The 16,422-nt window shown below is 49.0% G+C and overlaps 1 protein-coding gene across 1 annotated transcript in view, besides 3 other annotated features; it reads left to right on the top strand.

Annotated features, from left to right (window-relative positions):
- Nucleotides 508-1,008: an enhancer, noted in NCBI's record as "H3K4me1 hESC enhancer chr10:125710066-125710566 (GRCh37/hg19 assembly coordinates)". NCBI's record gives its function as "activates a minimal SCP1, AML or CMV promoter by ChIP-STARR-seq in naive H9 embryonic stem cells {active_cell/tissue: H9 hESC(naive)}" and the evidence as "EXISTENCE:reporter gene assay evidence [ECO:0000049][PMID:30033119]".
- Nucleotides 2,449-3,129: an enhancer, noted in NCBI's record as "H3K4me1 hESC enhancer chr10:125707945-125708625 (GRCh37/hg19 assembly coordinates)". NCBI's record gives its function as "activates a minimal SCP1, AML or CMV promoter by ChIP-STARR-seq in naive H9 embryonic stem cells {active_cell/tissue: H9 hESC(naive)}" and the evidence as "EXISTENCE:reporter gene assay evidence [ECO:0000049][PMID:30033119]".
- Nucleotides 7,454-16,422, top strand: part of CPXM2 (carboxypeptidase X, M14 family member 2) — a 198,466-nt gene continuing 189,497 nt past the window's right edge. The window contains exons 1-2 of the mRNA XM_017015673.2: nucleotides 7,454-7,569; nucleotides 7,783-7,906. The gene's annotated coding sequence lies outside the window, so the exon portion shown is untranslated. The remainder of the gene's footprint in view (nucleotides 7,570-7,782; nucleotides 7,907-16,422) is intronic.
- Nucleotides 12,514-12,683: an enhancer, noted in NCBI's record as "experimental_10738 CRE fragment used in MPRA reporter constructs". NCBI's record gives its function as "activates a minimal promoter by MPRAs in K562 erythroleukemia cells, with activity observed for the non-introgressed 10:125698476 variant allele {active_cell/tissue: K562}" and the evidence as "EXISTENCE:reporter gene assay evidence [ECO:0000049][PMID:34662402]".

Raw genomic sequence — 16,422 nt, 5'->3', positions numbered from 1 at the left:
TTTTGAAATACACCCTACATTGTTGCTAACTAGTCACCCTCCTCTGCTATTGAACCTTATTCTTTCTGTCTTACTGTGTGTTTGTATCCATTAACCAACCTCTCTGTCCTTCTCCCCACTGACACACCCTTCCTAGTCTCTGGTATTTATCATTGAATTTGTTTCTAATGAGCATGATTTTTTTTAAACAATAACAAGAAAAGGTCATTATTCTTAAAACATTTCTTTTTGAGTTTTCTCCTGTCTATCTGGTTTGCTTCATTAAAAAGAGAGAGAGAAGAAAAAAAAAATTTCGTGCCTTTGAAAGCATCTCTCCTAATCCATCTTCCCCAGGGCAAAGAACCAGCTGGGAAGGGTGGGCGGGGCCTCCCTGCTTCCTGCTGAGGGGGGCTCTGTGGGCACCCAGCCCTTGGAGAAAGGCTTGACGGCAGATGGGGCCCTTTGCTTGGAGCCTTGACTTGGTTCGTGGGGTTGGCTTTGGCTGTCAGGGGTCTTAGCCCATGCAGCAGAGGAGTCTTGGTGCCCCTACTTAGGCCTGCACTGGAGGAAGGGGTGTCTGGGCTCCCCTCAGAGCCCAGGTGGCTCACACAGAATCCTGGGGGGCAACCAGAGGAGGTGATCACCCAAAGCCCCTCTGTGGGGAGATTGTTGGACCTTCTTCCCTTCCTTCCCCCCAGTTTCCACTTCAGTGGGCCCTCTCCTTGTCCAGGGCCAGGTGTGGGTTTGGGGCTCAGACTGTCCCCAAGCCACAGCCCTTAGAGCTGCCCTCCTTTTCTCCAACCTCAACCCCTCAAGCTGAGGCTTGAGCGGAGAGAAATTGGGGGTGGGCATGTGGGTAGGGAGAGACTGGAGGGCCGCCATCCAGTCATCCGTTCATTTGTGCACTGAGCAGCCCTTGTGAGCAGGCTTGTGTCTCTGGGGACACAGGCTGTGTGGGGGACCTAGGTGGAGGCAGAATGCCAAATGTAGGTGCTCAGTAAGAATTAGCTGCCACCTCCCTGCTGTCTGGCTCTAGTGAGCCATCCTGCCCCTCCCAAGATCAGTTTCTTCTGTAAATAGACTATCCCAAGATCCCTTCCAGCCTGAGGAACTGAGTCCTCTGGGATAAGTGATCATTTAGTAGACAGAATTCATAAAACATCATAATGTAAGCTTATTCAGACACTCTTCAAATTCCTGTGCAGGCCTTATTTCACTTAATTCTCACATTCTTTCTTCCATTTTATTTCATTTTGAGACGGAGTCTTGCTCTGTCGCCCAGGCTGGAGTGCAGTAGCACCATCTCGGCTCACTGCAACCTCCGCCTCCTGGGTTCAAGCGATTCTCCTGCCTTAGCCTCCTGAGTAGCTGGGATTACAGGCTCACCCGACTAATGTTTTTTTTTTTTTTTTTTTGAGACGGAGTCTTGCCTTGTCGCCCAGGCTTGAGTGCAGTGGCTTGATCTCGGCTCACTGCAAGCTCTGCCTCCCGGGTTCACACCATTCTCCTGCCTCAGCCTCCCAAGTAGCTGGGACTACAGGCGCCCTCCACCACGCCTGGCTAATTTTTTTGTATTTTTAGTAGAGATTGGGTTTCACCATGTTGGCCAGGCTGGTCTTGAAATTCAGACCTCAGGTGATCTGCTCGCCTTGGTCTCCCAAAGTGCTGGGATTACAGGCGTGAGCCACTGTGCCCAGCCGTTTCCTCCATTTTATAGATGACAAAATTGAGGCTAGAAGATGAAGTCACCTGCCCAGTAGTAAGTGGCAGAGACTCTTAGACCTGGGTATTTCTAATTCCACAACCCTTGCAGCAGTATATTTGCCTGGTTTTTTGTGACATACTTAAATATCAAATCTTTTTTTCCTCCAATTGGTGAGTAATTAAATACCAAGAGGGAAGAAGCAGTCAACTCCTACAGAAGGAGTGGGGCAGGGAGGAAAGGACCCTGTTGTAAAACCATGTTGGAGAAAAGATCGGACAGATCCATTCCCCTTTAATTGAGAAAGGGCTTCGAAAATACTCCCCTTTCTGCGTAATACAAGACGATAGAAACTGACTTCATTTAAGTAACTGAGCGAATGCACAAGCATCTGAGCACAGACGCATAAGCCTGTGTTATGTCTGCCTTTTATTTGTTTTCTCTGGAAATGTCTGCATTTAACATACATAACAAAATGCCTTCATCATGATCTGTTTGTCATTTAAAGAAAAAAGAAGCCCAAGATTTAGAAACTCAGTATAGAACAAAAAGCTTTTAACATAGCAGTTTTATTTAAAAACAAAACCAAACAAGAGCCTGGCTTCCTTGATGTGAGGTCATGTCACTGCCCTGGCCTGTTCTTCCTGTGTCCATCCCCGGACCCGCACCCCTGCGTGCTCCGAAGTTGTCATTGCCCACCCCACAGGGCCTCCCGGGCCTGAACTCTCAAATAGGTATTTGCTCTGTGGATGCAGAAGGAAAGAGCTCTCCCTTTAGAGAGAATCCAATTATCTGACCTCTTACAGCAAAGACCCATCTGGAGAATTTTAATCATTCCAGCAGAATGGAAGATTCAGTCACTCTTGGTTGATCTCTGTGACTATGCGTATTCATTTCCGTGATTATGCGGTTTTATTATCTCTTGTAGGTAAACAAGGATTCTGAGAGGTTCATTGCCAGTGCCCATGGGTCAAGCTCCCGATGGTCTAGGAGAGAATATTGTGTCTCCAGCCAAGCTGGGGATCTGCATCTTACCTCAAGGGGATTAAAGGGCACCCTTCACCTTAGTTCTTTGAGCCCCATTAACATCGTATATTATAATGATGAGCTGGATCAAACCCTAGGCCTGCACCATTCCCACAGGCCAGTGGTGCCATTTGCATTGAGCCTGCCCATCTTAACCCTTTGCCACCCAGGCCCTTCCCAGGGCATTTGTGCCAGGCTGAGTTAGCACGTGTCTTGTTGGCCCTGGGGTGAGTAGGAGTTGGTGGCTGTGGCCCAGAAAAGGCCTGGCTGGAGATGAGCAGTGTGGTGGGGGGAAGGGACGGAGACGGGTTGGGGAAGGGGTCAGTGAATATTTTCAGCAACTACCTGCCATCTTTGCTTCAGTTTTCCCATGGTGACCCTGGTTGATAGGTTTATCAGCCTCAGAGCCCTGATCCTGGCCTCAGTTTCCCTCTGGCTTCCTGCAGCTTTTCCCTCATGGCCTTCCTCTGGCTGAGGGGTAGCCATCTGTGCCTCTGCTTCTGGGCCCACCTGCTCTATGAGGGACAGTCCAAATCTCACCTCCCATCTCCCGAGACGTAGTCATCCTCCGGGAACTCATGGTGTAGGCAGAGCACAGAGTGACCTGTGCTTTGATGTGGGTATTAGAGAAACCACAGCCACCTGGTGGGTGTAGGAGGAGCAGAGAGAATTGGCAAGGGGATGGGGCAGCCTCCTGGAGGACGTGATGCTGAACTGAGCTGTGAAGGATGAATGGGAAACACCTGGAGGAAGAAGGGTGAATGGGAAACACCTGGAGGAAGAAGGGAGTGGGGAGGAGTTCCAAGCAGAAGGGACCGAGCCGCATGGACTGGGAATTCTAAGTGGCTGGATAGAAAGCGTCTGTCAAAGACGGTGACACGTTAGGCCAGAGAGATTTGGGGACCTGAAGGCCTCGAAGGTCTCTCTCTGTGTTACTTTCATGGGCGTGGAGTACAGATGTGTCTCAGAGCACCCCTACACTTGTGCAGTGCACAACTCAAATAACTGAGCAGGGTGACCCTGCCCCACTAAGGGAGATGAGCTTTATCTTGAGGGGAATGGGCAGCCTTCAGAGGGTTTGAAGCAGAAGATTGACATGGCTATAAATGTGAGTTTAAAAGATCACAGTGGCTGTGGAGCATGTGTTAGAGGAAGAAAAGGCGGAGGCAGGAAAGCAGTTGGGAGGAAGCCTTGTGAATGCAGGTGAGGCTTGTCAGGGCTGCTTTCAGGCAGTGCTGGGGAGAATGGAGGGGCGCATGCTGTGTGGGGCCCGCAGTGGCTTCTGTAGGAGCTTGAGAGTGACAGCACAAGGAATGAAGAAAATGTCCAATCCACTGTAAACATCTTCGGTGAGTAACAACGGGACTTGTAAAATCAGCTGCCATTGTTGATGCTTATGCCATAGAAACTTGCCAGGAGTTTTCTCCCCGACAGTTTCAATGATGCCTGCTGAATTATGTTGCTTGTCACTGAGAATATGAATACTTTAAGGCATTTCTTTGTTTCAGTAACTCTCCCCTGCTAATACTCAATACCTTTTCTCTGTTACGACTCAAAGAGATGTTCTTGACTCTGACCACCCACGTGCCAATTCAGTTCTGGAGAAGCAGAAAAACCTGAGTGCTGGAGATGGCGAAAGGTCTGTGTCCCTGGCGTGCCCAGGTCCACGTCTGCCTGCCCTCCTCCCTTCCCCAGTTGTTGCAGGGGGCTAAATGGTCTCAGCACTGCCCAAGCACCCACAGCAGAATCTGCTAGAGCCTGGTCCCGTAAGCTTCCCACCTAAGCTTAGTCTCCCAGTTCTAAGCTCAGCCCCCACCCTCAACCCCTCACAAAGGCAAATACCTCCCCTCTTCCCTCTCTCCCAAGACTACTCTGAAAACAAGCCCTTATACTTGGTCATCTATTGACAGCTATGCTTTGCATAAGAGAGAAGGATCTGGAATCCCTGGGCACAATTCAAGAGGCAGGGATGTGGCAGAGGGAGAAAGAGTGGAGAGGAAGAGAAGACCCAGTGAGAGGTGGGGAAGATGAAAAAGCTGGTAGCCAAGAAAGACAATTCCAAGGCTGGTGTGGCCAAAGAACCACAATGCCATTCACACTGAAATATGTGTGGTTGCCAGGGAGCCACCTGGGAGGTGGAAGCTAGCTGCTTTAACAACAAAATTCAGGCCGGGCGCGGTGGCTCACGCCTGTAATCCCAGCACTTTGGGAGGCCGAGGCGGGTGGATCATGAGGTCAGGAGATCGAGACCATCCTGGCTAACAAGGTGAAACCCCGTCTCTACTAAAAATACAAAAAATTAGCCGGGCGCAGTGGCGGGCGCCTGTAGTCCCAGCTACTCGGGAGGCTGAGGCAGGAGAATGGCGTGAACCCGGGAAGCGGAGCTTGCAGTCAGCCGAGATTGCGCCACTGCAGTCCGCAGTCCGGCCTGGGCGACATAGCGAGACTCCGTCTCAAAAAAAAAAAAAAAAAAAAAAAAAAAAAACCAAATTCAAACGAGTACTGGCTCAACACGAGGCCGCGCACCTCGTGCTTGCAGGACAGGCCTGGGGTTGACTCACCTCCATGTAGTCCCTTGGGACCCAGGGTCCCTCCTCCTGGTCTCCATCATGGTCTGGTTAACATGAAGGAAAGGGCCTAGAGAACATGCCAAAGGTTTCTCCAGATTGGGGCTGGGAATAGCTCTCTCACTCCTTTTTTTAAAACAACTTTATTGAGGTACATTTTACGTATCATGAAGTTTATCCATTTCAGATATCAGTTCACTGATTTCGGTAACTTTACCAAGTGTTGTAACCATCACCATAAAACAGTTTTAGAGCACTTTCATCCCCAGTAAGATCCCTCATGCCCATTTCCTGTCATCTCTGTTCCTATCCCCAGGGAACTGCTACTTTACCTTCTGTCTCTGTGGATTTTCCTCTTCTGGACATTTCATTGAAAGTGAGTCATACAATCTGTGGTCTCGTGTGTCTTGTTTCTTTCACTCAGCCTCATGTTTTTAAGGTTCACTCAGAGAGAGAGACAGTAGTTTGTTTCTATTTATTGTTGAAGTGTATTCCATTATATGAACAGACCATGACACTTCACTTCTGCCCTGCTTCCATTAGCTAGAATGCAAGTCACGTGGCCAAACCTAATTGCAAGGGAAGCTGGGAAATGTAGTCTCTGTACCCAAAGGAAGTAAGGCTTTTGTGAACAGACAGTGGTATATCCTGACAATTCCTCCCTGTCTCCAATTACTCCATAAAAAGCTATAAATACACAAATGACACGCATGAGTGGTGTGTGTGTGTGTGTGTGTGTGTGTGTTTGCAGAAACTGCATAGTCCAGGTCTGACTTGGCTGGATGGGCAGCAGGGCGTGTGTGTGTGAGAAGGTAGGCGGGAGAATAAACGCTAAATTGAAGGTCAGAGGTAGCCTTGAGGACATGAATGTAACCGTGGGCTTGTTGAGACCACAGAAGAAGGGTCAATGTAGAGCTTAGCCAGGTCCTTGGAGGCAGGGAGACCCTGCTGGTGCGTGGGTTACAATTGCTGGCATGATTTAAAATGCACCTGGAACAGCCCTTGAGAGGGACCCTCTGGGGCTGGCTAAAGACATCTCCTTTGTGCTTGTGATTTCCACGGCAGCAGCATATTATTGACTCTTCATGAGCATCGTCACAGCTCAAAGTCTGGAAGTATAATTTTTAGGAAGAAAATATTCCTTCTTTTTGCATTCTTGGAATAGTTGTCAAAGGGGGAAATGACCCCCAGAAAAAGTATGGTCTTTGTAGGGGAAAAAAAAACTGCACTCCTGGGCCCTTTGAGAAGTTGATGCTGCTACCAGAAGTTCAGGACAAAGAGTGATTAGACTTGCGGCCTGAGGAGTTATTTAAGGACACGCTGTGCCCCGGCTCCCTTTGAGTCTCAGCAATGTTTTTCACTTAGCATTTTAATCATTTGGTGGAAAGGAGGAGATGAGCTTTCAAGGCCAGAGAATTCCATCATTTGGAATAACAGGCCAAGCAGCCCACGTTGACCTGAGGCTGACTTCTCTGGACAGCTGAGGCCCAGCACCCGCCCTGTGGAGCCCACACTCCGGCTTTAGGATGCCTGAGAAGAGCCAGCCATCTTTATGAAGGGAAGAGGTGCTGTTGCTTCTCCTGTTTGGAAGCAGAATGCTGGCAGTGTGGTTGGGATGCTGTCTGTTGTCCAGAGGGCAGTGGAGGTTATAGAAAATTCCACACAGAACTCTGAGGAGCCACCCTCAGATTTGCTTTGCACCGTCCAGAAATTCTCATCTCAATGGTAACGCATCTGTCTAGGGAGAGTCAAGAGGGAAAGAGAGTGGGACCAGCGTTCTGCTGGAACTTTGCAGGCATTTCTTAGAAAAGCAAGTCAGTTTTCCCAGGTTCTGAAAATGGCAAGATTGAATGCTAGAATTTCATACCAGGTTCAGAACCCTTTGTTTTAAAGACCCACAGAGAAGAAGTGAATTTGTGTTGAGCCGGAAGTAGAACTTTTGACTTGTAGAGATTGGCCAAATCTTATCTGGTGCTTTGTAGAGCCTACAGAAGACCTGTTTCCTGCTCTACAAGAAGGAATGGGGGTACTGATATTTAGGATGAATCTGCTCTATATCAGATGCTTTTTCCACGTTTCCTATATTCTCAGGTAATCCCACAGCTCATCAGGTGAGTTAAACACCCCTTGTGAGGTCACACAGCAGGCAAAAGGGAGAGTTGGGACTCAAACCCAGCTCAGCCTCACACCCCAGCCCGGGGCCTTTGCAAACATCATGGACACTTTAACCTTGTAGGACATCCTATCCCAAGCTGTGGAGCTTTGCAGGATGATCCTGGCTGGAAGCAGAAGCAGGTGACCACGATGACGATGGTCTCTTTAATTAGGATGCCACAAAGGACCTGTTTAGCCTCAGCTCTGGAGATACAAATACCTTCTCAGAGCTACCCACTACACAGATCCCCCTTCTATTCCATGGGGCAGCAGGGGTTGTCTGCTCCATCTGGGAAGAGGACCAGGACAGTGGTGTCCCTCTAGGCCCAAGACGGACTGTGTTTGTCTTTGCAGGTGGCTTCATTGCGCCAGACAGCCCCACCGTAGCCTGGGCCCTGAGCTTCTGCCTACCAGGCTGTCAGCAACATCTCAGCAACAGGCTCCAGCCAGTTGGCACATACCTGGCTCAGCTCTACAGGTAGCAGTGATGCTTTTAGGACCTCGTTTGTTATTTTTCAGACCTAACCTCATTGCTCTGCACTTCAGGGGCTGAAATGCAACTCCCTGTGGGGCCCAAGGGGACTTTTGGCCTCTCTGCAGCCTGCTGGTCCCTGGAGGATCTACCTCGTGCTGCTCACCCAAACCCTGCACGGCTGGCAAATCCCTTCTGGGTTTTGTTTGAGGCACCAGAGGCTCCCCTGAGGCATTGAATTCTGATTTTATTGTTGCTGTTGCTGTTGATGTTTGTGTCCATACATTTTGCAACTTCCCACAAACTTGTACATCCAAATGCTTTGCCCTGTTGTCCTTGTTAAAAGGATAATTTTTAAAAGGCACAGTCATGATTGTCATAAAATATACAATGAACACATCAAGTTTACTTAACTTACTATTTAGTGAGGAAAGCAATAGTATGGTACGACCAGTTCAAAGGAACATTCAAAGAACACACATGAATTTAGAAATACAGTCATACGTTGCTTAACTATGGGATATGTTTTGAGAAATGCATTGTTAGGCAATTTTGTCATAGTGTGAACATCAGAGTTCGCTTACTAAAACCTGGATGGTATAGTCTACTGGTATGGCCATATGGTAGAGTCGATTGCTCCTAGGTTACACAGCTGTACAACATGTGACTGTACTGAACAGTGCAGGCAATTGTGACACAATAGTAAGTATTTGTGTAACTAAACATATCTAAATATAGAAAGGGTAAGGTAAAAATATGGTATTATAATCTTATGGGACCATCATCATATATGTGGTCCGTCAGGGGTTCCCATCCAGACCCCAAGAGAGGGTTCTTGGATCTCACACAAGAAAATTTGGGACTAGTCCGTAGGGTAAAGTGAAAGCAACTTTATAGAGAAGTAAGGAAACAAAAAGATGGCTACTCCATAGTGAGAGCCCTCCTGAGGGCTGCTGGCTGGCTATTTTTACAATTATTTCTTGATCATATGTTAAACAAGGGGTGGATTATTCACAAGTTTTCTTGGAAAGCGGTGGGGATTTTCTGGAACTGAGGGTTCCTCCCACTTTTAGGTAATCTAGGGTAACTTCCAGATGTGGCAATGGCATTTGTAAACTGTCGTGGTGCTGGTGGGAGTGTCTTTTAGCATGCGAATGCATTATAATTAGCATATAATGAGCAGTGAGGATGACCAGAGGTCATTTCTGTTGCTATCTTGATTTTCGTTGGCTTCTTTACCACATCCTGTTTTCATTAGCGGGGTCTTTGTGACCTGTATCTTGTGCTGACCTCCTATCTCATCCTGTGACATCGTAGGTTAAGAATGCCTAACCTCCTGGGAATGCAGCCCAGCAGGTCATTTTACCCTCGGTTTACCCAGTCCCTGTTCAAGATGGAGTCACTGTGGTTCAGATGCCTCTGACACATCCTTGACTGAAATGTTTTTATGCCGTGCATGACTATAGATCCAAAGCTGGTCGAAACCCACAGAGCAATAGCAGTTGCATTCTACCAGACAAAATCCATCTGCACTTCTGTGGACTAGAGCCATTTGCATTACTCTAAGTTTTCTGCAACTTACAAAATTGTCCAATTCCTCAAAGACAATGAAAGGTGCAGGCCCTTAGAGATTCAGATAACCCTGGAGGGGTGCATAGATAGGACACCCAGCAATCTTTTTAACCTATTTTAAGCTCTTTCACAATTTCTCCTGGCATGCCCATAGGGATCTAAGCACACTTGCATGTGCAAGCCATTGTGCCTACAGATTCTGGGTTTGCCTGTTTCCACTGCTTCATCCGCATCTCAGATGCGGTTCAGAGAAGGTAGGTGGCCTGCTCAAGGTGAACGAGAGAACCAGTTCTTCTGGCCTCATACTCTAGCTTTTGAGCTCTTCTTCAAAGCACCCCCAAAGGCAGAGGAGGGGGAAAGTCCTCTGGGGTCCACAGGGCAGCCGTCCGCTGCAGGTGGGAGGGTCTTACGTTCTACCTCGTGAATATCCACACTGGTTAAACATAAAAACAATGTTTTAACATTATTCACTGTTATGGGTCAGATTGTGTCCTCCAAAAATGTATGTTGCGATCCTAACCTCTAGGACCTCTGAATGTGACCTTTTATGAAATAAGGTTACAACAGATGTAATTAGTTAAATTTAGACAAAGTCATACAGGAGTGGTGGTGGGGGGCTTTTAATCCAATATGATGGTGTCCTTATAATAAGAGAAGATACAGAGACAGACACAGGAGGCGGAGGCCACGTGACAACAGAGGCAGAGATTGACCTGCTGCAGCTGTAAGCCGAGAAACACCAGGGAAGCTGGCAACCAGCAGAGGCTAGGAAGAAGCAAAGAAGGATGCTTCCCTAGGGCCTTCAAAGGGAACACGGCCCTAGCCACACCTTGATCTTAGATTCCTAGGCCCCAGAACTATGAGACAATACATTTCCATTTTATTTTATTTTTAATTTATTTATTTTTTTGTTTTGAGATGAAGTCTCGCTCTGTCACCCAGGCTGGAGTGCAGTGGCGCGATCTCGGCTCACTGCAAGCTCCGCCTCCCAGGTTCATGCCATTCTCCTGCCTCAGCCTCCCGAGTAGCTGGGACTACAGGCACCCACCAGCACGCCCTGCTAATCTTTTGTATTTTTAGTAGAGACGGGCTTTCACTGTGTTAGCCAGGATGGTCTCGATCTCCTGACCTCGTGATCCGCCCACCTCAGCCTCCCAAAGTGCTGGGATTACAGGCGTGAGCCACCGTGTCCGGCCCATTTCCATTGTTTTAAGCCACCTGTTTGTGGCACTTTTGGACGGCAGCACTAGGCAATGAGTACCCTCACCATGGAGACACAGATGCTCCAGGAAGAAGCACCAGGCTTGTCCTGTGGCTTTGAGGGCCCCACCGGTGTGGGAATCTTGAGCTAATCCATGGTCCCAGAAAGGCAAGTGCTGTTTTCCACCCACTCCAACAACTCAGCGTTGGTTTAAAATGCTGGAAGTCGAAAGAGAAAGGCTGTTGCCATCTATGGATGCTTGTTAGGTGGGTGTTGAGGCGTCCCCCAAGAACTTGGAAATGAGGGAAATAAGCCTGCTCACTGAGAGCCGGAGCCAAGGCCCACACACAGAGTGTAGATCAGAGATGGGCAAAGTTGTTGGGTAGTGATGAGTGATTCCCAGGCTTGGGCGCTCCCTTGCCAGGTGGGTTCTGGGGTGGATCTGGGACAAGGGCACAGATGTCCCGTGCACATCATCACAAGGACACAGAGTCCTGTGCCCATCATCACAATGACAGAGATGTCCTGTGCAAATGACAAGGACACAGATGTCCCATGTACATCATCACAATGACACAGATGTCCTGTGTACATCACAGCAAGGGCTCATCACCCATGGGTAGGTAAAGAAGAGGCATGGAGGTGAATGCAGGCAGCAGCTTTCAGGGAAGAAGAAGCATCAGGCTGCAGACCTTGCCTCCTCCCTGCCCTGATGGCAGGACTGAGGCCTCCCAGGGTGAGCTGGGTGCAGGCAGCAGGGGAGGGGTTGTGGTCCTGCTGCTTCGAGCTCAGGGAGCTTTACAGCCAGGATGTGTCGATGACTGTGGTTCTGGGACTGAGGGATGTCGATGGTGGGGTGGGGCCGTTAGGTATTCTCTTCTTCTAAGTCTCCTTGCTCTAATTCCATGACTTCAAGTCCTGCAGATGCCCCTACCCAGCTCTGCCTGTGTGGACAGGAAGTACGTGCTAGCTCTTCAGCAATGTGGTCTCGTGGGCCTTCTCCTGGAGAGCCAGCCATGGGGTTCCTGCACTTGGGCCTGGCTGTCAGAGAGCCCTGATCAGGCACATCTGGGGTGCGCCCAGGCTCTGGGACAGGGATTCTCATGGCAGACTGATGCCTTGGGCCTCTGTGCTCCCACTTAGCATGCGTCTACCTGTCTGGCCTGATAAAGTCACATCCAGACAGCCTCTCCTTAGGCCCGGCCTCCCCATGCCATCCCCAGGGCTGGTGCTCTACTGACTTCTGCACCAGACACCCCGCTGAGCCCTTTAGACGCAGAGTCTCATGACATTACAATCATCCCAATGACCCTGTATATTAGGGCGTGTGCCTTTCTCTCCTCCTATTTTAAGGATGAAGAAACTGAGGCTGAGGCAGTTCAACAACTTGCCCAAGGCCACGCAGCAGGTCAGTAACAGAGACAGGATGGGAATCCAGCCCCATCTAACTCCAGAGCTGGCCTCTTTCCACATCCCCTCGCTTAGAGCCACCAGCATGACCGAGAAGCCAAAACCCACCAGGATGGCAAGAGGGGACTTCCTGAACCTGCCTGCCTTCCACCTGCTGGGCCCCGCTTGGTGCCGCTTTTCTAGTTTACTTTAAATATGTGAGTCCTATTTCCAGCCTTACCCGAAGCAGGCCCAGGTAGAAAACATTGCCATGGTAACCCTGCTACCAAGGGGCAGTACTGCTTCTGGAAAAGATGATACCTTGGTTCCCAATACTACGGCTCTGTGGGTCTGAGGGACAAGTTTAATTGGCACTGCTCACAGTTGGCTCTGCAGATACACTTCTCGTGGCTTTATGTCCCTGACATGGTATCCAGGATACCAGGAACATAATGTGTCTGCTCCTCCAGAGGAGGGAGAGGGGTGAGTCTGGCTGTGTCATTTGTATCGGCTCTAGTTTGTCTGATCAGAGGGCTTGGCAGGGTGGGAGCTCTGGGTGGGCTATGGAAGTACCTGGGCTGTGATCCACCTGTGTCCCTGGGTCACCTATGTCCCCCAGTGAAAGTCACCTGGGCTGGGTCCCACCTGCATTTCCAGATAAGTGTTGCCTCCCACTGCCATCACCGACTCTACATTGAAAGCCTGGCATGACCCCTCTCTCTTTCTACTGGCTCACCATAGACCAGAGCGTATACGGGTGGCCCTGAGTATCTGCAAGATGGCTGCGGTAGACGCTGGCCAGCCGGGCAGCCAGCGGGCATTCACCATTCTTGCTTGCTAACGGCATCTGTCACAGTGACCCTGTTCCCCTTGGCCAGGTGCACAGTGTCCCAGGCTCCCTTGCAGCTCCAGGAGGTCACATGACAGAGTGCAGGCCAATGAGCTATGAAGACATCTCCTGGGAGACTATTGGGAAAATTGTTCCCTTCCTAGTAAAAAGAAAGAGACAAGGGGAAAGAGCTACTCTCCTCCTCTCTTAGGGAACAGACATGCTCTTTGAAGCCATCTCATGATCAGGAGATTTGCAGGCACTGGCCAAACCCCTTGACATGGTTGAGCTGCAGACCGCACTGCACCTATCTACCTCCAGACCACTGGCTTCATGATATAAGGAACTGTCTTTCATTGTCTGAGTGCTTGCTACTCAGTGTGATCCCAGATTGCAGCTTCAGTATCATCCAGGAGCTTGTCAGAATTGTCAGGATCTCAGGCCCCTCCTCAGGCCTGCTGAATCAGAACATACGTTTTAAAAAGACCTCCTAGTGATTGTGTGCACACAAAAGTGTTAGAAACATTGACCACTGAGAGAAAGGGAGGGAGAGTGGGAGATACATAAAGAGAGAGTCAGAAAGAGGGAGAGAAATCTCTTGTAAGAACTGGCTTTTTCTAGAAACTCATTTTCTTGGTGGTGTACCTGTATTTATGCCTCTGAGTTAGGAACAAAGGAATCTTAATTCTATTCAGAAGGAAGACAGAGCTGCTTCCACGCTTCCCACAAGGCTCTAGCACCAGAAATAGACACTGGGGTTTCTTGCACTTCCACAGTTGGTCACTGTGGGTGCAGGGGACATTGGCATTTCACTCCTGCCTTGGGTTGGGGTTGAACCTTCCCTCATCTTCTCTAAAGGCTTTGATTTTAGAAAGATCAAAACCTCCATGTTCAAAACAGGGCCCTGAAAGAAAAATAAAAGTTGCCTGGGGCTTTTTTCTTTCAAAAATCTTGTTTCCCTTCTCAGACAAGCAGTCAGGATGCTCAGAAGAGAAAGCTCATTGTGAATTTGAGCTTCAAGGAACTGTCAAGAGACTTTGTTGAAAAAAGGCATTCTTGCTTAAGAAAGGGTCTTTGGTCCCTGGAAGTGAACAAAGAGATAAAATTCCAGTGGAAACAGCTTCTCTCCATAACTCCAGAATTCTAGTGTGTGTGTGTGTGTGTGTGTGTGTGTGTGTGTGTGTGTGTGTGTGTGTTGTTTTGTTGTCTTGTTTTTCTAACAGACTGAAAGCTGGGGATGCCTGTTGGCTGATGGACATTTGGGGTGGGGGGTCCTGAGGTTGCAGAGTGTCAGGCAGATTTTTCAGCATCGCTGAGGGAAGCCCCCTGAGCTGCCGGGTCAATGCTGTCTTCTTCAGCTCTCCTGATCCTGAAGGGAACTCGAAGCTTCAAGGGGAATTGTAACTTTCCTGAGACCCCACAACTGGGGAGGGGTGGAGTCAGGGCTGGAACCCAAGTCCAGCTCCTTTCTCCACATTAGCACCTCCCCTAACCAAGCCTGAGTTACATCAGAGGAAAATTAGGGTCACCTGGACTCCCCTTTACTTGGTCAGGAAGGCTGATCCCTGGGAAGGGGAATTGCTGTGTGTTTAGAATTTGTAAAAGTCCCAACTTTGCCACCTTCTAGCTGTCGTTGGCCTCTCTGAGCCTCAGTTTCCTCATTTGATTGAGATGGGGGATGTAAGAACCCCCTACCCCGGCCTTCCAGGGAGGAGCCTTTGTTGCAGGACTTGAATGCTGGGTTCCCCCTTTGGTGAGAGAGAGGAAGCATCCTGAATGATGGAGAAAAAAGTCAAGAGGAGGGAACTCATTGCTACCCACAGAGGAAGAGGAAGATGAGGAAGGCAGGAGGGTGCAGGCCAGAGCCTGGAAGGGGCAGTGGGGCCCGAGGACTGGAGGTGGGAGTATGGGGAGAGAGAAAGTGAGAGACAAAGGGAGAGTGGAGAGGAAAGTGCCGCAGGGTGTGAGACTTGAGGAAAGAGAGAATATTGTGAAGGAATCTTGAGAGTTGTATGATGTCATTGCCCCTTGAGAAAAGACATTCGGTCAAGACCTTCATTCCTTTGCAAGGCTTCTGGGAGTTGCATTTTCCTTTGGTTTGGATGCATCATGGTGCTGAGATGGGCCTCAAAGTAGCCTCGCTTTACTTGGAAGGCATGCAAAATGTGAGTAATATCTCTTCTGTGTGGCTGTTGTCTAGAGACAGGAGCTTTGCACCAGCCAATCCACCCATGCCGTAGGAAACTGACATATAGCCGATAAGAGCTGCAGACACTTCTGGAATCTTCTGGAATCATTCAGCTCCTGACTTATCTGCCTCTATTATTACTGATTGATTTTGGGGAGACAATAAGGCATAATGGTTTACAGGATGGTCTGGAGTTCTGGACCACTCTTACTCCCTGGTGGCTTTGGAAGGTTTACAGTCTCTGAGCCTTAGTTTCCTAATCTGTAAAATGGGGATGATAGTGCTGATCTTACAGGGCTACTTTGGGGATTAAATGAAATAATAGCTGTAAAGCACAGTGCTTAAACCCCAGTAAAAGTTTAATATCAATAGATGATGATGGTGATGGTGGTGGTGATGGTAAAGATAGTGGTGATGATGGTGATGGTGATGATGGTGAAGATGCTGGTGTTGGTGGTGGTGATGATGGTAAGGATGCTGGTGATGGTGGTGGTAGTGATGATGGTGATGATGGTAAAGATGCTGGTGATGATGGTGATGATGATGGTAAATGTGGTGATGATGGTGAAGATGCTGGTGTTGGTGGTGGTGATGATGGTAAGGATGGTGGTGATGGTGGTGGTGGTGATGATGGTCAAGACGCTGGTGATGATGGCGATGAAGATGCTGCTGGTGGTGGTGGTGATGATGATGGTAAAGATGCTGGTTATGATGGTGATGGTGATGATGATGGTGATGATGCTTGTATTTCTGGCTGGATCTTTACTCAGAGTCCCTCCCTGACTGCATCCTTGTCTGGGCTATTTTTCTTCCCATCTTTCATGTCTGGGCTCCTACCCACTACACCAGCTTTTAAGTGTCAGGCACCACACTGGGGCACTTACCAACCACTATGGGAGGAGCAGGTAGAACATAAGGTGAGGTGTTAGAACTGTTGAGCCCTCTCCCTGTGAGGTCTGTCCCCAGTTTCTGGGCCATTCTGGCAAGGGCAAAGTTTGTTTTAGCAGTTTCACATCATCCAAGGTATGGTTTCATGAGACAGATGCTAAGCTGGAATGGTTGGGTGTTGTGTGGTCTCTGTGGCCCCACCCAGGGTGGGTTCCCCAATTGCCTTTTCCCAGCCACTAAGTGGGCACCTCTGCTTGACCCCCGCCGCAATTGAAAATGCTACCAGCTTAAGGTTTTATTCATTGAAAGTGCAGCTCTCCCTGAGAGAGGAGGGTTTAAGCCAGGCCTTGTCACCCTTTTTGTGAGTTGTGGCTGCTTTTTTACTCCTCTCTACAATAGCATTAACAGCTCATGGTTAACAGGATTGAGTGGGCTCCATGCAGCAGGCTCTGACA

The sequence above is a fragment of the Homo sapiens genome, chromosome 10 (assembly GCF_000001405.40).
Source record: "Homo sapiens chromosome 10, GRCh38.p14 Primary Assembly".
In the NCBI taxonomy this organism is placed as follows: Eukaryota; Metazoa; Chordata; class Mammalia; order Primates; family Hominidae; genus Homo; species Homo sapiens.
Note: the sequence above shows the minus strand (reverse complement) of the source record. Positions and strands in the feature narration are given on the sequence as shown.